General features: G+C 43.3%; 1 long non-coding RNA gene across 1 annotated transcript, besides 5 other annotated features; it reads right to left on the minus strand.

Annotated features, from left to right (window-relative positions):
• Positions 1 to 26,706, minus strand: LINC02743 (long intergenic non-protein coding RNA 2743). Its single transcript, NR_120444.1, has 3 exons — positions 26,679 to 26,706; positions 26,407 to 26,499; positions 1 to 854 (listed from the first exon to the last, which is right to left on the minus strand). It is a non-coding gene; the product is annotated as a long intergenic non-protein coding RNA 2743 (long non-coding RNA).
• Positions 4,150 to 4,680: an enhancer, noted in NCBI's record as "H3K27ac-H3K4me1 hESC enhancer chr11:133657715-133658245 (GRCh37/hg19 assembly coordinates)". NCBI's record gives its function as "activates a minimal SCP1, AML or CMV promoter by ChIP-STARR-seq in naive H9 embryonic stem cells {active_cell/tissue: H9 hESC(naive)}" and the evidence as "EXISTENCE:reporter gene assay evidence [ECO:0000049][PMID:30033119]".
• Positions 19,013 to 20,212: an enhancer, noted in NCBI's record as "CDK7 strongly-dependent group 2 enhancer chr11:133672578-133673777 (GRCh37/hg19 assembly coordinates)". NCBI's record gives its function as "activates an origin of replication core promoter dependent on BRD2, BRD4, P300/CBP, MED14 and CDK7 cofactors, with strong dependence on CDK7, by STARR-seq in HCT116 cells {active_cell/tissue: HCT116}" and the evidence as "EXISTENCE:reporter gene assay evidence [ECO:0000049][PMID:35650434]".
• Positions 24,463 to 25,129: an enhancer, noted in NCBI's record as "OCT4-NANOG-H3K4me1 hESC enhancer chr11:133678028-133678694 (GRCh37/hg19 assembly coordinates)". NCBI's record gives its function as "activates a minimal SCP1, AML or CMV promoter by ChIP-STARR-seq in naive H9 embryonic stem cells {active_cell/tissue: H9 hESC(naive)}" and the evidence as "EXISTENCE:reporter gene assay evidence [ECO:0000049][PMID:30033119]".
• Positions 25,130 to 25,796: an enhancer, noted in NCBI's record as "OCT4-NANOG-H3K27ac-H3K4me1 hESC enhancer chr11:133678695-133679361 (GRCh37/hg19 assembly coordinates)". NCBI's record gives its function as "activates a minimal SCP1, AML or CMV promoter by ChIP-STARR-seq in naive H9 embryonic stem cells {active_cell/tissue: H9 hESC(naive)}" and the evidence as "EXISTENCE:reporter gene assay evidence [ECO:0000049][PMID:30033119]".
• Positions 25,797 to 26,463: an enhancer, noted in NCBI's record as "H3K27ac-H3K4me1 hESC enhancer chr11:133679362-133680028 (GRCh37/hg19 assembly coordinates)". NCBI's record gives its function as "activates a minimal SCP1, AML or CMV promoter by ChIP-STARR-seq in primed H9 embryonic stem cells {active_cell/tissue: H9 hESC(primed)}" and the evidence as "EXISTENCE:reporter gene assay evidence [ECO:0000049][PMID:30033119]".
• Positions 26,707 to 27,399: the final 693 nt, after the last annotated feature.

Below are 27,399 nucleotides of genomic sequence, written 5' to 3' on the forward strand. Positions count from 1 at the left end.
ACCAGGGACAATTCCATTTATTAAGCACTTACTCCAGGCCTGATGTCTTGCTGGGTTGGTACAGCCACCCTTCCAGGCATGTAGCGTCATCTCCATTTTGCGGCTGAAGTTTAGGGAGAGTAAGTACGCTCCTCCAAGTTACACAGCTAATATGTAGTCTCTAGTCCAGACTCTGAGAGCCTTCTCTATGCCAGGTGCTGGGCTCCTGTCACTCTCCCAGTACCTGCGAGGAGAGTGTGGGCCCTGCGAACCACTGCCCCACATGCATCCCTCTCAGATGACCTAAGCCAATCAACCAGGTCTCTCCCTCTGCAGCATGTAGTTCAGGGATGGACTGTGGTTATGGGTTGAATTGCGTCTTCCTCCAAAAAGATATGTTTAAGCCCTAACACCCAGTACCCAGAAACGTGACTTTCATTGGAGATAGGGTCTTTGCAGAGGTTAATCAAGTTAAAATGAGGTAATTAGGGTATGCCGTAATCCCATATGACTGGTTGCCAAATAAAAAGGGGAAATGTGGACAATGAGCTTCACAGGGAGAGGGTCTTGTGAAGACAGGTGTTGGGGGAGGGCAAGGGGCAGGTATGCCACACACCCCAAGGAACCGCCCGAAGCCAGGAGAGATCCTTCCCTAGCATTGCCTGAGGGAAGGGGGCCCAACCAGCACCTTGATCCCATACTTCCAGTCTCTGGAGCTGTGGGGCAATGGACGTCTCTGGTTCTGAGTTGCAGAATCTGCACGCTTTGTTAGAGCAGCAATGGGAAACTGACACAGCCATCTCCTCCAGCCTGGGGGTGACACTCCAGAGGAGCGCAGCTCAGGGATTCTGAGAACAGAAGCTGCTCCCCTTGTCCTGTTGGTTATAAAACAAGAAAAAAAGAAAAGGAGCACGTTGCCACCCGTTGATGCTGCTGACCTCCTTTTGCAAACATGAGGGGAGGCCATACATGGAAGGGGAAGGTCCAAGAGGTGGCCAGGCAGCGGGCAGTGTCTCCTGACCACCTGCCAAAGAGCCTGCCCTAGCTCAAAGGTTCTGCCTCCTTTGACTTCAGGGATCCTTGCTGCTCAGTTTCAGCTGTGCTTGCAGCAAGCGTCACACCCCCGTTTTTCAGAGGCGTAGATGGGCAAAGTGTCCCACCCAAGAGCCCACAATTCATAGGTGGCAGAGGTGGGACTGAACGAAGTCCACCCAACCTTGAATTCAGTGCTCCCGCCCACTATGGAGGTCATGACAGCGACATCCAGCATCCTAGGCTGCTTCTGGCAGTGGCGGATCTTCTTTATTTGTGTCTACCTGTTTACCATACCTCTTCCTATTTCAGTCCACTCCTAGCACCTTCCAATAACCTTGATTTAATGTAAATATATAGTTCTCATTTTTAATCCTTGGCACCTTCCTTCAGACATCGACCACTGGCCTTCTGGGCCTGCTCACCTCTGGCCACTCAGGGTCCCCAGTGGCTCTGGGCGAGCCCTGACCCGTTCCTCACCCGCAGGGTCTCACAGCAGGCTGTACTGCTCTGTCCACCTATGCCAGGCTGGCTCCCTACCACATGTACCCCTGGAAAGGAAAGAGAAACTTCCTCTGCACCCCTGCTGCCCTGGGCTCCACGTGTCATTACTCTTGTGTTTGCTCCCACAGGAGACTGTCATCACCTGGAACATAAGCACTTCATGGGTTTCGAATCTTCTCACTCTGACTTGGATGGCAGACCACTGGGAAATTAAGGCATTATCTCATGGCTTTGCCATATTATACTTTTCCCACTTATTCAACAAATATTTGAACACCTGCCACCGTGAGTAATGCACTGCATTGCTGAGAGCTATGAGATTAATTAATTAATGAGAGTCCCTGTCCACACTGAGCTGACTGCACAGAGAAGAATAGAGACCAAATAATAATACTAATAATAATGAGAGAGAGATGTGAACACAGGGCTCATTTAGGGGAAGGGAAATGATTCCATATGTTTGGTGTATGGAGCTGTAAAAGACAAAACTGGAGACGTGAGTAAACTTAGGCCCTGGATGCCTTATAAGTATGTTAACTGCTGAAGACTGATTACCTGGTACATAATAAATATTAAACCCCTTCCTGTTTTAAGGGTTACTCATTCACGCTAACATACCCATGTATAGAGTTTTGTTTCACCATTGGAAGGGGAATTAGAAGCCCAAAAGATACTGCGCGGTAGTGAAACCGGGTAACGAGCAGGTGCTGGCTGAGAAGTCAGGGTTCTGCCTCCTTCCCCACCCCAGGCCTTTTTCTGAGAGTCTGCCTGCTCTGCTGTTCCAGGAGGAAAGATAAAAATCTTATTCTGCAAAAGCTGTTTCCTATCAGTTTTGCTGGGCTCGGCCCTAGCCCTGCTGAGCTGCTGAGCTGCAGAGCTGTGCTGGAAGTGACTTCTTTGATGTTTTCAAAGGTCGGAGCACATCTCTCCCCTTTTGGAGTGTCACTCGGCTCTAGGCAGACGATGTTTCAGCTGTGGGGAGAGCCAATTAGAGCCAATTATAACCTAACTAACCTCCCATGACACCAAAACTCCTTGTAGAATTTGCCAGCTTCTTGCAAAAATAGTGTGCATACAGGCCTGACTCCCGTGTGGAATATGCCCCAACTCCAGTTATCACTGAAGGTTCAGTCATTTTCCACTGTGACGGCATATTACAGTCACCTGGGCACAGTATTCATCACTGACGCTGAGATTCCAGGCCCCGATAGTCCAATTTAGTGTCGGAGATGTGGGTCCCGGCATCAGTGAAAAAACATCCCCAGGTTTGAAAAATAGTGATGAATCTGAATTCACCCAAAAACACAGCTGGGCTTCTCTGAAACCCAACTGCTTTCTCTCCTTTCCCATTACACACGTTTTTCTGGATTAGTTGGCATCTGCATTTATTAACATTGGGTCCTTATTTCATATTTTGTGATTATTCATTCTAATTATATTAACTCTTTCAGGTATGTCCCTAATATATCTGTACTTTCATCTGATGTTATTTTTTTTCTAACCGAATATATTTCAGGAATCTTGAACTACACAAGTGAAGAGAATAAAATTTGTTGTAAACTTTTTTCCAAAATAGTTGTGAAAACTATTTTTATTCAGTCAACAGGAAACTGAATCCATAGCATCTAGAAATAAATGTGCATCTTTGACAACTATAGCCACACACTTGACATAAGTGTGTATATTTTCCTGTGTTTATCTATAAGCCTATATCCATACACATAAGCATTTATCTCACACACACACACACACACCTCCCATAGCACAAAGTCTTGTAGCCAACCTCCAATAGGGAGTAATTCTTGAAGGAAAAAAGTGAATGAATATACACATGGATAGATGCACAGATGCTGAAAGTACAAGGTAAATAACTTATATTCACTTAAATATGGATATATAGCTTATATGTAAATACAACCTTATTTCCAGTTGGCATCTGAAAATAACAGAACATCTGTTTTAAATTCCAAATTTTTATTCAATCAGTCTATGTAAATTACTGACGTATTCACAGAGCAGGATATGACTTTTTATTTTTAAATGTTAGCATATTATATTGATGCTTTTAATAATTATTAAAACAAAACTTCATTACTTTATTATTAAGGGTACGTTCAAGATGACCCTTAAAATATAAGGGGATTTATTAGACTCCATGATGAGAAATGAAAAGAAATAGTAATTTCCAGAATAAGTCAGGTTTCAGATCACGAGACTAATGCCAAATAGCAGCAGACACCATTGAGTCCAACAATTTTCAAAGCTTTCGATTTGGTTTGTAGCAGCAGAACTCCTTCCTTTCATAAAATCTTGAGCAGAAAACCGGCATCCGCTCCGAGAGCAGCAGCCCTGATTGAAGTGAGGCCTTCGAGCCCCCCGCATCAGCGGCCCCGGCTCCGGACAAGCGCAGCTTGGGAACAGTCGAGCTAGTCTGGAGACTCTCGGTTCTCGCTGCACATTAAAAAAAAAATTACCTGGGAGGCTTTTGAGAAGTCCCAGACCCCACCCTAGAGATTCCGACTTAGTTGGGCTGAGGTGGTGACCGTAACGCACAGCCAGGGTTGACAGCCACTGGCCCCGCACAGCTCCTGCAGCCCGGGAGCAAAGCCGAAGCCCGGGGAGGCAGGAAGGCGTGGAAAGGCGACACCGCAGGGCGGGCTGGGGCCGTGCCGGGGCCAGAGCTCGTGCTCCTGAATTACTCCAGCCCCGTGACGACGCTGCGCGCGCAGCAGCCGCCGGGAAGTGCCGCTCTCTGAGGGGAGCGACTGCTGCAGGACCCCCGAAGGAGTCTGTTGTCACCACAGCTGGGCCAGAGGGGAGCTTACCATGCTCCCCCAGACGCAGCCGTCCACCTGCTCCCACGAAACAGTCATGGGCAGCGCCCATTCTCATATAACGTTCTAACAGGACGGAGGGCTGAAGGAAGGGCGGCCGGCAAGCCTGGCTTCATGGGTTGTCTCTCAGAAGAAAATAAACTCGTGATTGGTGCGGCCAGCGATTTTAATAATAATGACAGCTAAGATTGATCGTTTCGTTAAGTGTTTTATACACATCCTCTCATTCAGTCCTCGGAACACACCAAGGAGAATCATAGCCCTTTGGATGAGGAAACTTAAAGTCTTAGTTCTCAAAGAAGGTTAGTGATTCGCCCAAGGTCATAGAGCTTTAATTGGCTGAGCTGAGAGTTCAACATGGGCCTGATTTGAGAGCCTGTGTTTTTAACCGCCAGAGTATAAAATATAAAATGTAAAACTACTCAATTGCCTTGATTTTAGGGGCCCTCAACTTGAGCTCGAGGTCCTGGGAGGCCATCCTCATCTTTCCTTCATAAAAGCTGGAGTCTCTTCCACATCCAGGAAGCCCATCCTCCAGCTAGAAATCCCTTCAGGCCTCCTTGAGGAAAGTATTGCTATAAATGAGGCACATTAGCTCTTTTTGTGTTGTGTATTTATTTCTTTATTATTTGCCCTCGTTATCTAGAAATCTATATTTTAACCCTAATTGTCTCCCTGCGGCAATGATGAAGGCATGACTCTGAGATTTGCATTGCAAACACCATCAGGCCTTCAACAGGAGCAGATGAATTCCGAACTTGGCGTCTAACAGCATTTATTGCTTCATTTTCATGTCTTCCCGGCTTCAGTTTGGGCCAAAGTTGTTAATATTTTTTTCAGGTTCGGAAAGGATGGGAGGAGGTGGAATTCAGGATCATGATTTCAGCCTGCGTTGACTCTACCCAGTAGATCAAAATTGAACTTTTACCACTGAAACGATATCTTTGAATAAAAAAACCTATGGATCAGTGCCTTATGTACATTTTACTAATGAATATTTATAGGACCATCCACAGGGTGTACAATCTCATACAAGCCATTCTATTTAGACAATGGTTATTTGGGAAAAACAAAAGGGGCCCTAGAAAAAGCTATGCAGTAAGTGGGATGCATTTTTATTCCTCCCAAGGGGAGGTGAGAAGCCTTCAATGGATAGCTGCACTTTTTCAGTTCTATTGTCTTAAAAGTTTTATTTATTTTAGAAATAGTTACAACCTAGCCAGGTAAATATATTGCGATAAATTCCATTTAACTTTTTCCCTCACTGGAATAGCCTCATAAAAGACAACAAAAACCTGCAGAAAATTCAATGAGGGAGTAAGATTGTCAATACAGTGTGTGTGTTTTTGAAAATAAAATGGCACAATCAGGTATAAAGAAGAGTCTTCATTCAAGTTAATAAAAATCAATCTAGAAAAAAGAAAACTGCATTTTGGTGTCTAAGTAATCTTATCTTTTAATAATAATAAAACTTTCCACTTTATAGGGCTTTTTCTTTGGAGTCTCTAAGAGTTTGTCAAGCAAGTGCTGGACTAGGGTTGATGGTACACCCAGAAGCTAAGAGTCTGTCCCTGACCTCCACCAGTAATGATGGCGAGACCTTATCCTTGAGGCACCTCTGCTACACATACACTTCCCCATCATTGCCATCCCTTAACTCACCCATCAGTAATGTTGACAAGCCAGTGTTGTTCCAACTACAAAACCAAATATAATTAAGAGGAAATGGGAATTCTGTAAAAAAGCCTGTGCATTAGGTACTATTTTGTTGCAAATAATGAAACGCACTTAATAAATGGGACCTATGCCACATGAATAGATGACTGTAAACACCCAAATGAAAAATAATAAATCTGACCTCCAGAGCCAGATAAAACTATTTTCATTTTATTGAACTACCATATTTTTATGTCTCTAAGAAGTCATTGATTGTAAGACATGCCATCAATCTAATAACTTTCCAGGGAGAAAGGAAAGAACAACCACACTGAATATACATAGCAATTATAAGAAACATATTGATTTTAGAAATGTTAAAACATGGGGGGGAATATGTCTTACAAGTGAGGAAATACAGCAAATATAAATGTATACTAAGTTTAAAGAGTACTTTTATATTTATTATCTAATTTTTACCACAATTTCATAAAGCTGCTATGATTATTCCATTTTACAGATGAAAAAAAGCCCAGCCTCTGAGATGTTGATTAACTTGCTCAGGATCACACAGCTAATAAACAAATACCCTTAACTCTTTGCTTCTGAATTCCATGTTCTTCTCACCACTCCACACTACCTTTCCGTCTTAAAGTAATAGAACACTTTTATCTAAAATGTTTTTCTGATCACTAATAAAGAAAGATACATTTTTACAAGACTGCTCCAATAAATTCTTCACAACTGCTCTTGAAATTTCTTCATGCTTAGCTAAGATGGTCTTCACACCACCTATAAATCAAGTTCTCTACTCATTCTTGGTAGTCAGGTTAATAGAGATGCAGCGATCCCAAAGGATGCACCCTCCAAGAAAAGATACGGATCACTGGCTGAAAGCTCATATGGCCCCTGCAGCTAGCTCACTGCTGTTCGCTTCCTCACTTATTCTGGACAGAGCACACCTGCTTTTGCAGATTAAAATTGTGAATTGGCTACGTTAATTACCCTTGGTGTGTTGTGAATCTTCTTTTTGAACCTTCACTAATGAATGTGCAGTGCCCGTGAAGCTTTCATTGGCTGGTTATGCAATCAGCTGTCCCCACAGCATCTCAGTGATGAGAGTGGGAACCTGCAAGTGGCTTTCTCTATTACCTAGATTGCTAGAAATCGATTCAGTGGTGGGAGTCTGGCTATACCTGGTTATGACCTGGAAGCCTCCTGGGAGGTCAGCAGATCTAGAGTCAGAGGAGCATTTGCCTAATGCGGACATGCCTCACGGTGTACCATCCAGGGCCTGGGTATGGGGTGGCACTGGGGGACATCTGACATCCCCCATGGTGCATGTGGCCAGCACAGTGGTGGCAGAATGTGTAAACAAGGAACCAGAGCAAATCCTCATCAACACAATCGGTGCCACAACCGGATGGAGGACAGACAAGCCTCGAGAGGGGAAAGGAGGCTTGCTCTTCCCTCTGGCCTGCAGTAAGGGCCCTCCAGGCTACTTCACCAACCACAAGTCCCAACTTAGACAAAGCCAGGTGCACTATGCAATCCCGCCCCCTTCTCACCCGCAGAGACACTGTGCTGGAGGCTATGGAAGTACATAGGGAGTTTCTGTTTTTGTCCCAATAAACATCAACAAGTAAGCAGAAGTATTTGTTTTGGTTTATTAGTGAAAGATTCCCCAGAACTACAAGTTTAGTGGTAATTATTTAAGAGTTTGAATTTTCCATTAGTATTCAGGGGCTTGCTTTATGCTTCAAGCCTAATGCTCTTACTAAGTCACTTCTTACCATTTAAAGAGGGGGAAGCTATAACTGAGCTTGTTGTGTAGGAAAGGCAAAAAAAAATGAGGACAAAGAGAGAAGCCCATGATAAATTTGGAATGCAGTGGGGGTTCCAACAGTAACACCAAAGTGACTTTCTACGTAATAATCAGATCCTCTGAGACCAGTGGTCCCTTTGCATGGCCCCGAGAGAAAACCACACAGAAAACAGAGACAGCTTTTTAAAGGCAAGAGAAAACTTGTTTGATTTCCTCTTTTAACATAATTTGGGGAAAAAATACAAAACAAATTAAAAAATTGAGTTTGCTCATTAAAAAGCCACAATGAGTTTGAGTGTGGTGGTTCATGCCTGTAATCCCAACACAAGACAGATGGAGGCCAGGAGATTGAGATGAGCCTGGCCAGCATGGTGAAACCTCCTCACCTCTACTAAAAATATAAAAATTAGCTGGGTGTGGCGGTGCGTGCCTGTAATCCCAGCTACTCAGGAGGCCGAGACATGAGAATTGCTGAAGCTGGGGAGGTAAGGTTGCAATGAGCTGAGACCACACCACTGTCCTCCAGCCTGGGGGACAAAGTGAGACGCTGTCCAAAAAAACAATAAAAACCCACAATGAAATATATCACCTCATACCTGTCAGAATAGCTCTTATCAAAAAGATGAAAGATCAGCAGTGGCAAGTAGGTCAAGAAAAGAAAGCTGTGGCACACTGTTGGTGGGTATGTAAATTGGTACAGCCACTATGGAACACCGCACGGATGGTCCTCAAAAAATTACAAATAGAACTACCATGTGATCCAGCAATACCACCGCTGGGTCTACACCCAAAGGAAATGAAATCAGTGTGCTGAAGGAATACCTGCCCTGCCATGTTCATTCCAGCACTGTTCACAACAACCAAGATAAAATGGGAACAACCTAAGTGTCCATCGCCATATGAATGGATAAAGAAAATGTGGTATCTATGCACAACTGAATACCATTCGGTCATAAAAAGAAGGAAATCCTGTCGTTTGCAATAACGGGGGTGAATTTAGATGACATCATGCTAAGTGAAATAAGCCAGAGACAGAAAGACTATATTATCTCATTTACATGTAGAATCTTGTGGTGTTTTGTTTTGTTTCATTTTGTTTTTTGAAACGGAGTCTCGCTCTGTCACCCAGGCTGGAATGCAGTGGCACGATCTCCGCTCACTGCAACCTCTGCCTCCTGGGTTAAAGCGATTCTCCTGCCTCAGCCTCCTGAGTAGCTGGAATTACAGGTGCCCACCATCACGCCCTGCTAATTTTCTTTTTGTATTTTTAGTAGAGATGGGGTTTCACCATGTTGGCCAGGCTGGTTTTGAACTCCTGACCTCAGGTGATCCACCCGCTTCGGCCTCCCAAAGTGCTAGGATTGCAGGCATGAGCCACCACGTCCAGCCACACATAGAATCTTAAAAAGTCAAACTCATAGAAGAAGAGAGTAGAACAGTGGTTACTAGCGGCTGCGGGCATAGGGGAAATGGGAAGATTTTGGTCAAAGGGTACAAACCTTCAGTCACGAGATAAACAGACGCTGGAAATCAGCAAGGGTGGTGATGGAAATGTTAATTAAGTTGGTTGTGGCAATCATGACACCATGTATTCATATATCAAATCATTATGTTATACACCTTGGATATATACAATCTTTATTTGTCAATTAAACATCTTTTAAATTAATTAACTAATTGTTTTAAACGCCCTAACTATAAAGAAAATTCAAAGTAGTTACTTTAAGAGAAACCCCATTTCCCAAAAGCCATGTAAAATGGGGCAGACATTTCCTCCGTAGTGTGACCCTACGTCCCATCCAGAGACCAAGGACAGCACAGGAGGTTACCTTAGCAGCCCCCGCTCCTTAGGAGATGGATTTTACTTTTCTCTCTATTGTAAAAAGGGAACAGATGTCCCCTAGGCAATTTTACTGCAAAGGACCTCAGCAAGTGGTAGCTGCTTCAGGCTTCAGCCATCCCTTCCAGGTACTTCTGAACTAAGGGAATTTCCTTCCTTTCTTGGCCGCCCCTCCTGGAGTCTCCACCCACAGAGCTGAGCCTGCCTGGTCCGCTCCACTACAGAGCGTGAGGACAGATCTGATATACATAAATCAACATATTCCTCATTTTCTAGCACTGCCTTTGACAGCTGTTACATGAGCACATTGTTGGAAACTGTCAAGCAATGATACACAGTGCCTTTTACAACATATGTTGACTTTTATCTAATGTAGCTCCATAATTAGCCCCAGGGAAAGTGAATCCAGGCATCCACCTGGCTGTGTGATCTCAGTTAACCTTTGCTTTCTTCTGAGGGAAGTTAGCGGGGTCAGGGGTGGAGATCCAGGCAATGAGGCCCCCAGGACTCAGAGAAAGGCAGTAAGTGTGCAAGCTGTGCAGGATATGGGAGACAAACTGCTTACACTTCCCTACCCTCAGCCTATGGTCAGAGATTGGGGGGTCCAGGGGTTCTGGTCAGGGTTTTCAAGTCCTTCAGGCCTGGATGAGCTCTGGGATCATTAATGGAAAAATAAAATAAATCTTCCTGGAACCTGGGCCATTCAACGTGAAAGAACCTGAGAGAAAAAGCTAAGTGTTGCTTCAAACAGTATTCTTGTTGCTCCTCTGTTTCTCTTTCAGGAAATGACAAAACTTGCAAACCACTCATGGCAAGAAAAACACATTTCCACTGACCTTCAGGGTTTGGCAGGTCTTTTAGCCATGAAAATTGATACAATAAAATATGGACTTGGGGTAAGAAGGTCTGGATTCAAGTTCCTGATCCTTCACTTACCAACAGAGTAACCATAGGAAACTTATAATTTGTCAGGGCCTTCCTGTCCTCAGCTTCAAATGGGAACAAGGGCAGCAGGTGCATTGGCAAAATCATTAAAGCCAGTGATGTGGTAGTGGTTCTCCATGGCTCCCCCAGCACCCTGGACAGTGCCTAGATCAAGAAACCTTTTTAATAAATGAATTCATACATTCAGTATTCTAATGAAGACCAAATGAGGAGATGTAGAAACATTTTGAGGACAGAAACTCAGTGTCCAAATATCAGTTATTTGATTTACGCTTCCATGTCTGGTTTTCGGAGCTAGGTCAGAGACAGAGCACTAGCTATCTTACAAGCAATAAACCAGAATAAATCTGAGGGAATTCAAAAGGTATGAACTGAACTAAAGGCAAAAGAGTTGTCTAAAAGTTTAACTATTTGAAGACAACTAGAATTCCCCATATAGACACACCCCAAGTCAAAAAATGGAAAAAGGAATTCCCAAGGGGATGTCCTCCTGAAGGAATTGTACCTCTGTCCGCATCCGTTCACCATGAGTCCCACCTCAGCCGTCCATGAGTACCACCTGCCACATGCAATGCAATGTCAGAGAGACTGTGGGAACTCACAAACCACATAAAGCAAGGTACCTGCTCTGCAAGTGTCTGGGTTGGGCCCCAGGGATGCAATAAAGACCGGACACCGTGCTTGACCTCAGGGAGTCCAGTGGGAGAGGGAGTCCAATGGGGTGGCAGTGCAGCAGGGCTATGATACAAAGAAGTAGCCAGGAAAAGGGCCACAGACAGAATCCCAAAGAACAGCCATTTAGGATATGGACAAAGAGGACTGTCCAAAGTAGGAAGAAAATTAAGAGAAAAAGATGTCCTAGAAACCAATAGAGAAGTAAATTTCCAGAATGAGTCCTCATTTCCTAGGTTAAGATGCTATGGAAAGTTCAAGTAAAATAAGGACTGAAAACCATTCAGGAGATAACCAATCAGCAATGAACAAGTGATTTTATTGAGACACGTAAAAAATTAGGTAGTATTATCAAGGCAGATCTGACCAGGTGTCAAAGGGTAAAAACTATAAATGTTATGAGAACTCATAAGATGGAGGGAAAGATCTCTGTAGGAGAGAGAGGTTAAAAGATGACTGATTCACAAGATATAAATTGAAGTGGGCCTTGAGAGATGAGTAGAATGGCGGGGGATGGGGAGGACAGCAGGGGACTAGAGCTCCCAATTAGGGGTAAAGCTTGAGTACAGCATGGGGCTGTGTATACTCTGGTGATTTCCAAGGGCCAGGGAAGCGGGTTTGGGGAAATGAGGCTGGGAAAGGAATTTGGGGTCAGACTGAGAAGGGACTTAGAGGCCAGAGTCCCAGTTTGTCCCATAAGATTTGGGTAGGGTCAGACATGTGCACTTGAAGCCTGGAGAAGATCCATGTAACAGCAGTGTGCTGGCTAGACTGGAGGGGAGAGAAGCAGCTAGCTCAGAGGCCACAGAACAAGAGGAAGAGGCAGGGCTTAACCTGGAAAATATAAAGGGTCAGGCTTTCACTCATATGAGCAATATTTTTGTCATAAAAGAAATGAGACCATTTGCCTATCATGGCAGGGAGCAAATCCCCTTATCCCTTGTATCAGCATGCTAGGTTCCCTTAGAGTTTAAGACGATGGGGTCTGAAGTCAGACTGAGCTGGTTCAAAGATCAGATCGGTGACATCCCTACCACACGCCCTTGTTAGGTTGCCTACCTCCTTGGAGCTTCAATTTCCTCATGTATGAAATGGAGAAATCAATAGAACCTACTCAGAGTGTTTTAAGTATATTAAAAGAGGTAATGAATGTAAATGGCTGACAAAGGATAAGCACTCAATAAGTGTTATCTATGATACTATTTTATTACTGAAGAATATTGCTCAATCAGGTTGGAGAAATATCTGCAAAGCATACGAAATAAACACCTCGAGAAATGCAAGTCATCAATAAACATGAAAAATTGCTTACCTTCAGATATTCAAAAATTTACATGATCTAGTAGCTGACACTTAAACAATCTGAGAATACCAAGTGTGGCTGGCAAAATTCTGAGAAGGTCTCCAAGATTCCCACCCCATGATGTACAGGTCCTGTGTAATCCCCTCCCCTTGACTGTGGGCAGAATCTGTGAATAGGATAGCAGTCCTGTGATTAGATTAACAATCCATCAACTTTTAGTTAATCAAAAAGGAGTTTATGCCGAGTGGGCCTGACCTAATCAATGGGGCCTTCAGAAGGCGGCAAAACGTCGAGAGGCGTGCTTCTCTTGGCCTTGCTGATGCAGTGTCCGTGCGTCTTACAGCTGCAAGGAATTGAATTCTGCCGACAGCCAGGGGAAAGAGAATCCTGAGACTCAGATGAGACTCCAGCCCAGGCTGATACCTTGAGTGTAGCCTGGGGAGACCCTGAAGAAAGGACCCCATTCAATTGTGCCCAGACTGTGGCCCAGGCAAACAGTAAGGTGATACACCTAAGTTGTTTAAAGCCATAAAGCTTGTGGCAATTTGCTATACAGCAAAAGAAAACGAGTATACCTGTGGCTGGCAAAAATGTACAGAATCAGAAAATTAAATCCGCTGTTTGGGGGGATGCATTTGAATTCAATTTGGAAAGCAGGTTGACATACTCCATAAGGTTGGAGATACATACACACCATACCCACCCACTGCTGTGCTCTCGCATGTGGCCTGGCTAAACCACTGCCTGTGTAAATAGGTGCATGTGTACCAGAATGTGCATGGCAGTGCAGCTTAAATAGTCAAATGCTAAAAACAACCTAAATTAAACGACCATCATGATAAGAATAAATAAATTGTGCTATATTCAGAAAATGGAATATTAGCAATGAAAATGAGCAACCTACAGTTAAGATATAACATGATAGATCTCAAAAATATAATGCTGAGAAGCAAGATGCAAAAGAGGGCACACATTCCATTTCCATAAAGTTTGTAAACAGGCATAGTAAGACTACCCCTACTTAGAGATGCATACACGGGTATCAAAAAGAGGGATTTTTTTAGAGGCAAGGAAGTAATTTTCGTGAACTTCAGGATAGTGATTATCTCTGTCTGTGAGGAGGAAGAGATTGTGTTTGGAAAGGGAAAAATGAGAGACCTTCCGAGGTGCTAACAATGTTTGTTTCATGATTACTTTTTACACATGTGTTCACTTCATAATTTAAAAAAATATACACATACACTCTATGCATGCCTCTGTGTGGAGGACAGATCTCAGGACTAACAGGTGGGATGCTGAAGACCTCTGAATGACCTATCTTATACTCTGCCAGGGAAATCTGCCTGAGAAAGTCCAGGGAACACAGATCTGGGGGCTCCTCTGACATGTGGAAGCCCTCAGTGGGAGTCAAGCTTCCCAAGAGCCTATACCGGGCTTGGAGCTGATGGCTCAATGCACCTTCCCCCGCCCCCTCCCACGCCAGAGAAGCCATCAGCTTCATGACACCTGTGCTGGCGCAGCAGCTGCGGGAGGGAGGAGGGAGCTGTCAGGAGCAGTCACTGGCATCAGACTAATAATAAGATTCATTTCTCCGAGACTCCCAGGACACAACCCAGGGAGACTGAAGAATGCTAATGCTGACTGCAAGGGCTCTGGGGGCTGGTTACTTATTTTTGTTTTTTAAGGTCAATTGTTTCAGGTTGGTACGCTTATTAGAGGGGGGATCAGTGGAAAAAGAGCATGTACCTCTATTCTAAGCCTAAAAGCAAAAGCCAGACAAAAAGAAGACATTCATTTATTAATCATGTCTCAATCCTCTTTCTTAGAGGGTACCTGAGTGGCCAGGGACAGAATCAAGACCTGTAGTTGTTAGTGGTTGTGGAGCTTGGAGCTGAAGAATCAGAGTCATAAGACAGAGATGCAAAACTTGGGGACTGCTGTTGCTCTTTCTTTCGTCCAGTCCTTCTTGAAGGTTGTTTCTCTATGCCTTCATCCTCATCACTGTATCAGTTTCCTATGGTTGTGTCACAAAAAGTGCCATACTTAGCAACTTAAAGCAACATAGATTTATTATCACAAGGTTTTAGTAGGTCAGAAGTCTGGGCATGGCATGGCTGGGTTCCCACTCAGGACCTGACCGGACTGAAATTCAGGCGTTGCCTCAGGTATGGTTTCCATCTGCGGCTGAGCAGAATCTGCTTCTGAGCTCCTGTGGTTGGGCAGAATTGAGTTTTCTGCAGTTGTATGACTGTGGTCCTCATTTCCTTGCTAGCTGTCATGTGGGGGTCACCCTCAGGGCCTAGAGGCCACCCACATCCCTTATCACGTGGTCCCCTGCATCTTCAGAGTTAGCAACAGAGAAATACTTGTGCATCCAATTCCTTAATGCTTCAAATCTCTGACTTCTTTTCTTGTGTGTGAGCAAAGAAAATTCTCTGGTTTTATAGGGCTCAAGTGGTTAGGTCCAGCCCACCTGAATAATCTCCCTAACTTAAAGTTAACTGATTCAATGCCTTAAATATATCTGCAAATCCGTTGCACAGAAGTACCTAGATTAATGTTTAAAATAATGGGGAAAACATGGTTATGCCAACGGCTCGGAATCTTGGCAGATGCTCTCTTAGAATTCCGCATACCACAATCATCAGTTGCTAGTATTGCTATTCTGAACACAGCATTCATGGGGATGTAAACAAAACAATGTGCCCAAAGGGAGGAGGAATGTCAAAAGATGGCCCAGACAATTGGGAGATTTATTCATTATTTGAGTTGAACTACACCTGGAGTTGGGAATAATAGCTTTCATTTATTCACTCATTCAACAAGCATGCTAGATGCTGTAGGAGGTTACACAGATAAACAAAATAGACCCTTCCATGACATTTACAGTGTAAAAAGATAACAAAACTATAATATTCACCCATTTAACAAATATGTATTGTGTGCCTACTATGCGGCAGGTGCTAGATACTGAGGATATAGTGAATGACTAACATTACTAGGTACAATGCTGCAAGTCACAGCCTAAAAGAGTGCAAGTCTCATGGAAATTCAGAGTAAAAAAAGGGCTTCTCCAGGCAAGGGAATGTGCAAAGGCAACCGCCTTACAGAAGAGGAGATGATGGGCTATGCGTTATTTTAAGAGGAACTGAGGATACGAGGGGAATGGCTTGCTGGTTAGAGAAACTGATGTGAACAGAATCCCAAGGTGAGAAAGAGCAGCGAGAAAGTGGAAAACAAAGCCCACTTTAGATAGATTAAAAGTGATAGGAAAGAGTGTCATGCAAGATAAGAATATAAAGAAAGTTTGGGCCAGATTTTGAAGGATCTTGAAGGACAATGAAAAGCCTTTTTTCGGATCAGACGCTCTCAAAGCTTCACTCTCAGGAGGTCAATTCAGTAACACTATCCATTTGCTCCTTCAATATCTACTAAAAACCCAGCATGTAAACCCAGGCACAGTTTAAGCTGCTGGGCATACAAGCTGAAATCTCCGACCTCATACTTTTACTCTAGGGGAAGATAAAACAATAAACAAAAAAATCAATAAACAAGATAATTTCAGACAGTGATGTATCATAAAGGAAAAACTATCAAGCAAGATAGAGTGATGGAAATTAGGGGAGAATGGTTTTAAGTTGAAGGGTCAGAGCAGGCTTCTCTGAGCAAGCCATATTAGAGCGAAGACCTGTACTCTAGAGGAGGCAAGCCATGCAGAGACCTGGGGGAGCCTTCCAGGCAAGGGCATAGGAAGGGATCCTGACATGGACATGGCGTGGCAGGTGAGAAAAGGCAAGGCTTCAGTGCGGTAGAGTGGTGTGAGCAAGAGGACCATGGAGGGAGTGAGGACCATGGAGGGAGTGATGTCAGAGAAGTTAGCAGGGGCAGATCTCTTAGGACTTCGAGAGCCAGGGAGAGTAGTTTGGATTTTATTGTAAATTCACGGAGAAGTTCCTGGAGATTTCTAAGTAAGGCAGAGTGCTGAAATTACTGATCAGTCAGGCTAAGATGAATCCTAGGGGAGCAGGAGCAGGCCCACCGCTGCTGTCCAGCCTCTGAGAGGCAAAGTCCCCGGAGGCCAGGGGCACTGGCTAGATGAGGATATCTTTAAAGGGAGCCGAAAGGTTTTGCTGATAGATTGAAAGAGGGGTGAGAGAAGGGGAAAACTGACAAGAGGAGAAGGGGGCAGGGGGACCTGGTAGGACCTATTGCTAACAGGATGGGAGAGCAGAAATGAGAGGCTAGGCCATGTCTGGCATCAAGGAGAGGGGGTGACAGGTGAGGAAGGTTGCACACAGATCAGGACTAGATCAGGCAGACGAGGTCAGAGAAGGAAGCTAAGGTGACTCTGATTCTTCCAGCCTGGACCACTGGGGGACTAGTGGTGCCCACTAACAGAAACAGGGAATTGAAGAAGAGCAGCGCAGAAGGAGGGCAATGAAACAGTTGTGGACATGAGGCCTTGCAGGGGACAGGCTCCCTGCACATAGAAAGGAGGGGCTACTGATGGGAATTAATGAGCTGCATGAAGCTGACTAAGCCAGAACTGGCTGCCTGCAAGGTGGACTCCAAGGTCTAGTGCCATTCATTCACCAGCAAGGCTGCCAGCCGCTGCTGACCATAACCCGCCTCACTGGAATGACAAGGGGCCATGTTACCCCACAGTCTGTCACCCCATCCCCTACTGCCCCCACACAATGACTAATCGATACAAGAGTGGAAAAGCTTGGCTCTGTTGCCTGAAGATGGGACAACGCTGGCTGCGCTCAGCGACCCCCATTGGGTCATGACGAGGCTGGACTCCAGCTTTTGCCTTGCAGCTAAGCGTCAGGCTCTCCCCTTGCCCTGTCTTGTGGTGACGATCATAATCCCAAAAGACACAATCCAAAATTCCATAGTCTCAAATGTTGAAATCCCAAAAGAGCAACATCCCCAAATCTAAAATCCCAAAAATCACAATCCCAAAAGATTAAAATCCCAAATGTTGAAATCCTGAAAGCCGAATTCTGGGGAAAGAGTGGAGCATTTTCAGTTGTATGCAGAATGGTTTCACCATGTTAGGTGGCACTATTGCCGTGCTATTGTCTTACTCGGAAATTAAGAAAGGTTTAAGGAGGTGTGTATCGGTGCCAGGTTGTTAAGGGGTGGACGTGTGGGCTGGATGTTAGGTGTCACTTTGACTAGAAGAAGGAATCCCTAGAGACCTGGTAAAGCCCTCCTTTGGGTGCATCTTGAGGTGTTTCCAGAGGAGACTGGAGTGTGAGTCTAGGTGGACTGGGGGATCCTCTGCCCTCAGTGCTGGCAGGTACCATCCAGTCAGCTGGGGGCCCAGAGAGAACAACCACAGAAGGTGAACTGCTCTTTTACTCTGAGAGCTGGAACAGACTTTTCTTCTGCTGCCTTGGACGTTAGAACTCCAAATGCACTGCTTTCTGGACTCCAGAACTTATGACACCAGTGGCCCCCCCAGGGTCCTAGTGCTTTTGGCCTCGAACTGAGTTACGCCATCAGCTGCCCTGGCTCTGAGGCCTTCAGACTTGGACTGAGCCAACCTAGAGTCTCCAGCCTGCAGATGATGACCTGTCATGGAACTTCTCAGCCACCATAATCATGTGAGCCAATTCCCCTAATAAGTCCACTCTCCTTTCTCCCTCTCTCTCTCTCTTTCTCTCTCTCTGAATTTCTCTCTCTCTCTCTCTCTCTCTCTCTGTCTCTTTCTCTCTCTCATCTATCTATCTGTCTATACATACACACATATCCTAATGGACCTGTCTCTGGAGAACCCTGGCTAACACAGATTTGGTACTGGGGAAGCCGAATATCATTCCTTCCTACTATATTCCCTATCTTGCTTCCTTCATTCTCTTACAGGTTTTACCCCCTCAATAAATACCTTGCATAAAAGTCAACATTTCAGGCTCTTCTACAGAACTGGACCAAAACCTATTTTTACTCAAAATAATAAATAGAATAACAGCTAACAACTATAATAATAATAAATAGAGTAATAGCTAACAAAAAATAATAAATAGAATAATAGCTAACAACTACTGAGCACTTAATGCAGGCCAGGCACTGATAACCCCTTTCTTGAATTATCTCATTTAATCCTCACGATAACCCTGTGGGATAAGAACACTATTATTGCTAGTTGTATTCATTTCCTGGGGCTGCTCTGACAAATAACCACAAACTGTGTAGCTTACAACAACAGAAGCCTATTCTCTCACATCTCTGGAGGCCAGAAGTTCGAAATCAAGGTGTTGGCAGGGTTACACTTTCTCTGGAGGCTCTAAGGGAGAACCTGTTCTTCATCTCTCCCGGCTTCCGGTGGCTGTCACCATTCCTTGACTTGGGTCTACATCATTCCAGTCTCTGCTCCACAGTCACAGTGCCACCTCCTCTTGTGTGTGCCTTCCTCGTAAAGATACACGTTATTGCATATAAGGTCCACCTAGATAATACATGGCAACCTTCTCCTCTCAAGATCCTTAATCACATTCTTTTGCCAAATAAAGCAAGATTCACAGATTCAGAAGATTAGGAAGAGGATGTATCTTTTTGAAGGCTATTTGTCCCACTACACCCATTTGTAAATGATGGGAGGAGAAAGGCAAAAGTAAAAGAATAATAAACAGAAATCACAAAATAAGACAGAAGAAATACATTAGTAAAAACAATAAATTTAAATGGAAAGAGCATCCCAGAATGGAATAAAACACTCTAACAAAATATAGCTAAATGTGGTTTACGGGAGACATGCAGAAATTGAAGGGAAACCGAAGGGAACAAGATTGAAAAGGATATACCAGGCAAATACGACTTCAAAGAAAATTGGAGCTGCTATAATACTGATAAACAAAACTGACCTTAAGGCAAAGGCATTAGTAGGAATGAATTGGAAGTATTAGTCATGATCGGTTAGGTTAGGCTGCAATAACAAACAACCCAGAGGATCTCGGTGACTTGCTTCTTACTCATGCAACACATCCATCTCAGAGTGGGGAAGCTCTGCTGTACAGTATGTTGACCCTTGCACTCGACCCGATGGACTCGTCTCTATCTAAAACAAATACTGTCTCATGGAAGAAGAAAGAAAAAGATATTATGAACCAACTTCTGGTTCTTAAATCTTTTGTTTGAAAGTGATGCTTCTCACTTCTATTCAGATGTCACTCCCCAAACCAAGTCACACAGCTAACACTTACGTCAAGGAGAAGGGAAATACAATCGTCCCTTAGCACAGGGAATAAATATTTTAACAATGATACAGTCTACCATAATGGGCCACTGAATAGTGATCAGCAAAACAATTCACCAAGATGTTATAACAATTCTGTTGTTTTGTGCAAATAATAATTTAGCCCCAAAATATTTTTTAAACCAACAAAATTTCACATAGGAAATGACAATTTTACAATTATACTTGGAGATTTTAGGATGTTTGCTTCCAAAATGAGTAAATAAAGTAAATTAAATTAATAAAGATATTAAGTATAAACATACAAAGAACTATTATTCAATCTTAAAAAAGAAGGAAATCCTACAATTTGTGACAACATGGATGAATCTAGAGGAAATTATGCTACGTAAACTGAGCCAGTCCTAGAAGGACAAATACTGCACGATTTTATTTATATGAGATCGTAAAGTAGTCAAACATAGAAGCAGAGAACAGAACGGTGTTGCCAGGGGCTGGAGGGAGGTGGAAATGAAAAGGTGTTACTCAATAGTTATAAAGTTTTGGTTATCAAAAGGAATATTAAATATGCAAGATAAGTAAGTTCTAGAAATCTTCTGTACAGCATGGCACTTATAATTAACAATATAGTATTGTGCACTTAAAAATGTGTTTAAAAAGTAGATCTGTTTTAGCTTTTTGGCTTTTTTATTTAGCTGTTTTTTTTAGCTGTTTTTAGCTTTTAAAACAAGGCGCACCCAAAGGAGGGCTTTACCAGGTCTCTAGGGATTTCTTCATCTGGTCAAACTGACTCCTAACACCCAGTCCACAACGTTAGCTGCTCTGAGTCCTGCAACTCCCACACAGGCACCCAAAGGAACACAAGGAAACTCGGGGAAGTAATTGATATATTACAACCTTGATTCAGTGATGCTATCATGCATGTATGCATAATAAGTTCAAAGTCATCAAATTGTGTAGACTAAACATGGGCAGGAGGTTTTTGCGTTTATCAACTCTGCCTAAATAAGACTGTTTTTTCAAAAAACATTACAGAAGATGCAAACAACAAAGTAAGCAAGTTTGAGCCAATAGACACAAATATAGAGCATTGTGCCAACAAAGAACATACATGAAACTTTCATAAAAATAGAACTTGAACTAGCACAGAGAATATTTCTGAAAATTTTAAAGTATAAATATCTTATAAAACAAATTTTTACCAAATTGTAATTAAACAAAAACTAGCAATAAAGAGATAAACCAAGACAGTCTAAAGATACATACGTTAGAAATTTCAGTCCGTTCTTTTTTTTTTTTTTTTTTTTTTTTTTTTGAGACAGAGTCTTGCTCCTTCTCCCAGGCTGGAGTGCAGTGGCACGATCTCGGCTCACTGCAAGCTCTGCCTCCCAGGTTCACACCATTCTCCTGCCTCAGCCTCCCGGGTAGCTGGGACTACAGGCGCCCGCCACCACGCCCGGCTAATTTTTTTATTTTTAGTAGAGACGGGGTTTCACCATGTTAGCCAGGATGGTCTCGATCTCCTGACCTCGTGATCTGCCCACCTCGGCCTCCCAAAGTGCTGGGATTACAGGCGTGAGCCACTGCACCCTGCCAATTTCAGTCCATTGCTTAATAACCCTTTGAATATAGTAAGTCACTGTTAATAAGACATTAACAACTGAACACTAAAAACGTAATATATTAAATCTTGTAAGACACAGCTAAAGTTGTATTCAGAGGTAAATGTATAGCTTTAAAATGCATTTACTAGAAAACAAAGATTGAAAAAAAATACCTAAGTATCAAGAAGATTAAAAAAAAAAAACAAGGTAACACTCAAAAAAAATTTTTAAAAAGAAAAGAATTAAACCTGGGAAAAAATTAATAAATAGAAAAGAATCAGAACCAATAAGAAAGTTCGGCAAGTTTGCCATAGATATAATCTATTTATAAAAATCAATTGTGTTTCTATATAACAGCAAGGATATTTTAAAAATATTTAATAATTCTTAAAGATAATGAAAGAGTACAAAAATGTTAATGGTGTAGAGGAATAATAACGAAAGATACATATTACATTTCTGCTTAAAATAATAAAATTTTATTGAAACATATTAAAGAAAACACAAATGAAAGAGGTATGTCATTTTCACAGGTGGGAAGATGATATTATGAAACTGTCAATTCTCAACTTAATCTATAAAGTTTTTGTAAATCGATTCATCTGTAAATATAATTTATAATACAATCAAAAGCAAACATGGGTCTTCAAGAATTACGAGTTAATTCTACAGTATAGACAGAAAATCAAAATAACAAAAATTGACTAAAATTTTTGAAGAAGTACAAAGTGAAAGTAATTATTAAATCAAATATTAAGACATCATGAAGCAATAGTCAAGATAGTGTGGCATTGCTGCAGAACAGGTAAAACAAAATGGAGTGCTGACAGATAGAACCTAAAATATAATGAAAATTGGTACATGACAGAGAGGTGACATAAGGCACTCAGTAAAGTATGGGATAATGAATAAATGGTGCTGTGACAACTAGGTGCTCCCGTGGATGAAAAACAAATTATATTCCTCACCCCATACCAAGGTATATTCCATATGGATTTTAAAGCTAAATGCAAAAGCAAATCTTTAAAATCCTTCAGACAAAAATTCAAGACACTAGATGACCTCAGGGTAAGGAAGGAAGGATTGCATCAGACACAAAAAACACAAGCCATAAAGAGGCCTTCACATTAAAATGGAAACACTATGAACATCAAAAGTTATTGTACACAAATTGAAAAGAAGAACCTCATACAAGAAAAAGGCATATGCAAGACATATAATTAACAAAATATTTATATCCAGAATATATTAAAATCCCAACTCAAGAAGCAAAAGGGAAAAAAAAAAAAACCATGGAAAAATTGGCAACTGGAATCAAGAGGCAATTCATAAGAAAAAAAGCAAAAATGAGAAATGTGTGAGAATATGGCCAACTCCACTATTAATCATAGAAATGCAATTTGCAGCAGTGATCTATTATTTCACATCCATCTTTGGCAAAGATTAAAAAGCCTGACGATACCAAATGTTGGTGAGAATATGGAGCAATTGGAATGTGCAGCTAGGCAACATCAGAACAACCACTTTGGAAAGGAATTTGGCCAAATCTAGCTATGTCGAAGATGTGCACAGCCTTAAGATCTAGCACCTGCAGTTGTAAGTGCATTCCCTAGGGAAGCCCCATGTGTGTGAACTGGGAGGCGTGCATGAGAAGATTTTCTGTAACACTTTCTGTAATTGAAAAAACTCAGAAAACAATCTGAAAGATCATCCACAGAAGAATGGATAAACTGTGATATATTCATGCAACAGAATACTCTACAGCAGTGAAAATGAAAAGGCTAAACCGGCCAGGCGTGGCGGCTCATGTCTGTAATCCCAGCACTTTGAGAGGCCGAGGTGGGCAGATCACATGAGGTCAGGAGTTCGAGACCAGCCTGGCCAACGTTGTGAAACCCCATCTCTACTAAAAATACAAAAAAAATTAGCTGGGCGTGGTAGTGTGCGCCTGTAATCTCAGCCACTCGGGAGGCTGAGGCAGGAAAATCGCTTGAACCCGGGAGGTGGAGGTTGCAGTGAGCCAAGATCGCACCACTGCATTCCAGCCTGAGCAACAGAGTGAGACTCCATCTCAAAAAAAAAAGAAAGAAAACATTAAACCTACAGTTAATAACATGGACAAATCTAAAATATATAATGTTGAGTGAGAAAAAGTTACGTCATTTTTACAGAATAAAACCAATTATATAAAGTTGAACAGCAAGAAACAACAATACTTTATAATGTCGATGGGCATGTTAAACATGGAAAATTACATTTAATAAGAAACAGATTTTGAGCAGTGGTACCTCTGAGAAAGTGAAAGAAGAGAATGTGAATGAGGAGAAGTGCATGGAACTTCAGTGAAATATGGGGATAGGGAAAATGCTAAGATTTGGTAAATCTAGTTGATGAGAATACAGGTGTTCACTCCATTATTCTCTTTATCTGTCTGTACATCTGCAACATTCCACAATTCTTTTAAAATTAAAAAACATAAATAGGTAAAGACAAAAAGTGGAAGCTTTGTCCCAAGCTTGCTGCTACAGGGAGAAGTGGTAAAATTCTCATTCTCTAAAGGTCGCAGTTGACACGTGAGGAGAAAAAGAATAAGGTCCTTCATGCCCATGAAAAGAAATATAGCTGGACCCCGTAAGAACTGGAAAGTGGTCTCCTCTCTCCCTTCCTCCAGTTGGTCTCGAATGTCTACTTTCTATAAATTGATTACCTTATTTCATCTCTCCACCATGGGTCTTATATTCTCACGGGCCCTCAAAGCACCCTAGCCCCTGGTCTATTTGGCTTTTCAACTTAAGACCCTACACTGACTACATCTCCGTGTCTCCGCTCAAATTTCTGAGAGTATCTGATTATCCCCTGCTAAGTCCATGGGTTTGCTGGCCTTGGGTAGATGCCTACTTCTAATTCAATTCGCTTTATAATAAAAAAGGATCCCTTTTAGGGGTTTGTGGGCAGGACAGGATTTCAAGAAAGGTTTGGATAAAACACATACTTCCCCACCCCATCCATCAACCTAGTTTAAGTGGGCAGGAATTAGAACAGAAGCCTGCACAGAAATGAGGAATGTGCGTGAGGCTGAATCAGTCTCCTGTGGTCTTTCCCACACTACTTCTTGAGTGACCACCTGAAGAGTTGAAAAAAAGGTAATTGCTCACATCGGATTCTTGTCATGGACAACAAACTCAACGAACATATGAGAGCCAGATGGAAAAGTAGCCTCATACAGAGGATGGGGGTGGGGACAGTTATAGAGCTTGTGAGGAGACTGCTGACGTGCAAGATGAAAGAAGCCAAATGTGACCCTGAAGCTGGCCATGGGGGCAGCTGGCCCTGATCAGAACTCACCTTCTCCACCCCCCAATCACTTAGAGGCTTCTCTTCTGGAGCTCTCCTCTCAATAAATGGCAGCATTATTCATCCACTAGCCAGAACCCCAGGCATCATCCCTCTCCCTTTCCTCTCGTCCACCCTACAGCGACATCCTGTGGCTTCTACCCCCGCTGAAGGCTTCTCCGTTTTTGCCGCATCTTTCCGTTTGTCACTGCCGCCTCTCACCTATTTCAACCTTCATTTCCCTCTCACCTGGTCTTCTGAAAGAGCTATTCCCAACTCAGGTGGAAGAATCCTTAAACACCACCAACCCAATTTGTGTTCACCCATCATCACTGCATCTCCACAGGGGTCAGCCAGTGGGAGGAGCACTGGCCAGAGACTGGCCAGGAAAGCCGCAGCGATCCTTGCATTAGCGTTGGGGAGAGACGGCCATTAAAAAAATAAACATGAAAAAGAGTTTTATTGTAAGTTGGGTAAGTGCTCTGCAGGAAAAGCTCTGTGTACTTCGAGATTGCTTAATCAGGGAAACACAATTTCAATGGAAGCAGTCAGAAAAGACCTCTCTGAAGAGTGACTTTTGACCTGATGGAGTCATGGTTTCCTCCTTAAAGCCTTTCATCACTTCCCCTTTCTGAAGATAAAGATAATCCAGGGCAAAGCCAGATGTAATTGGCTTCTGCTTCCCTTCCTGTCTAAATCCGTCTTCACTTTCTCCCCAGCTTTTCCCTCTCCAGCCACCCTGCTCTCTGTTCCCTGAAGATGTCACTGAGGAAACACCTTCTTGTCCCATTTCCCCCAGCCAATCCTCATCAGGTATGAATTAACATCACTTGCTCTAAGAAGCCATCCCGGAGCACCCTGAGGAGGATCCCCTGAGTGTGGTGTCATGTATATTGATCCTTCCTTATACCAAACGCTCTTGTAACCACCTCCTCAAAACCTGTTAAAACTCTCAACTCCGTATTTGTAGAGGAATGTCAGTCTTTTTTCTTAGTATAGCCCCAGGGCCTGGCTTATTAAAGGTACTTAACATGTAACTGCTACATAATCAAAGAAATAAATGAATTACTTCACTGACGTGGCTTTGTAAAGACCCAGAACCTCAGAATTAGAAAGGACCTCAGAAGTCATGTGCTCTTCCTCCCACCAAGTCAGACATGGCAGATATATCACAGTCTCTCCAAGCCTTGCACCTGTCTCCCTCGCTCAGCCACAAGCTCTTCACAGGCAGGGACAGCAGCTGATTCATCTTGGTATCTTCCTCCTCCACAGAATTATGAACCAGAGAGCTCCAAAAGGATCATGATCTCCACCCACAGGCTAGAAACTATGTGGGACGAAGCCAGCAAGTGACTTCCTAAAGGGATTTCAGCAGAGCTAACTGTGAATAGCCCCATCCAGACTCCTCCTGCTGAATTTCCTCATCTGCTTCGTTTCACGGACGCTCACTCCAAACTCGCGGCCGCCCTGCCCCGCCTGTCATCCCATAGTACCCAAGATTCCCACTTTACAGCATTCCATTTTCTTCCAAGAATTCCCCTCCAGGCATCACACTGTGCCCCTCCTGCTGGCCAAATGCCTAGAGACGCCCTGGCTTCTCCTCGGCACTGTGATCTGTTATAGGGAATTAACAAGGAGCCAAAGACTAGCACACGTGCACTCGCGCGCACACACTCACCTCAGGGAGCTCCAGAAACGGCGTTTTCTTCATTTCCCCGTCTTTGGGGCGGCCTCCAGCTTTAAGTCCTCCACTTTTGGCAGCAGCCTTTCCCTTTGGGAGAAAGACAAGCAACTTTAGAGTGATATGGAAATCTCCCCCTAAACATTTGCAAGCCTTGCAGGACTTGGAGCTGGTCCCAAAGCAAATTCAATCAGCCCTTTCTTCCCCCGACACTTGCTGCCTCCAGCTGAGCCCCATCTCATACAGTGAAGCCCAGTGAATGGGTGCACCTGATAAGTCCCGAGAGGCCCCAGCCCCACACCAAGAAAAAGAGCGAGAAAGCCACCACGAGAAAGGAGGAGTGGGGAGGGAAGGAAATGGGGCCAGGCCTGGGACAGCTGCCATACTGAGCCTGCTTTTGACAAAGGCCTCTTCCTGCACTGAGAAGGACCTTCAGCTAAAACATGAATTTACACGGCAAGGAAGTGATCCTGCTGGCCTGTGGGCCCAGTTCCTGAGCTTTTAAAGACTGAAAATGTTCAGCTTTTCAGTGTTTGACTCAGAAAGCCCTAAATCCCTCTGCCTTCTCAGATTAATAAATGATATTTGCAACTGGATACTGTGATACTGGTACTTCTCCCATCTCTTATCCATAAAAACCTAATTGTAAAACATTCACTGAATTCGATCCTCTAATGAGACAATGAAATTTCAAAGGATCCATAAAGACAGGCAGACGAAAGCCTTCAGTACACAGTCCTATGTGCTCTGAAAATATAACAGTACGTGTGTAATTGTGTCTTCCCGAGCAGTAGGAGAATGGGTGGGGCACTGGGAGTAGGAGAGGCAGAAGGACAGGAGACTGACCTAATGAACATAAGGTTGAATGTTGAACCCTAATTCCGCAGGGCAGCCACCCACGACAAAATCCAAGGTGTTGTCCTAATCCTTCTTCATATTGATGGTTAAGCAATATCTTTTCCAGCTGTCACATAAACTCCCTGACTGCCG

This window comes from Homo sapiens, chromosome 11, assembly GCF_000001405.40.
Source record: "Homo sapiens chromosome 11, GRCh38.p14 Primary Assembly".
NCBI classification, from domain to species: domain Eukaryota; kingdom Metazoa; phylum Chordata; class Mammalia; order Primates; family Hominidae; genus Homo; species Homo sapiens.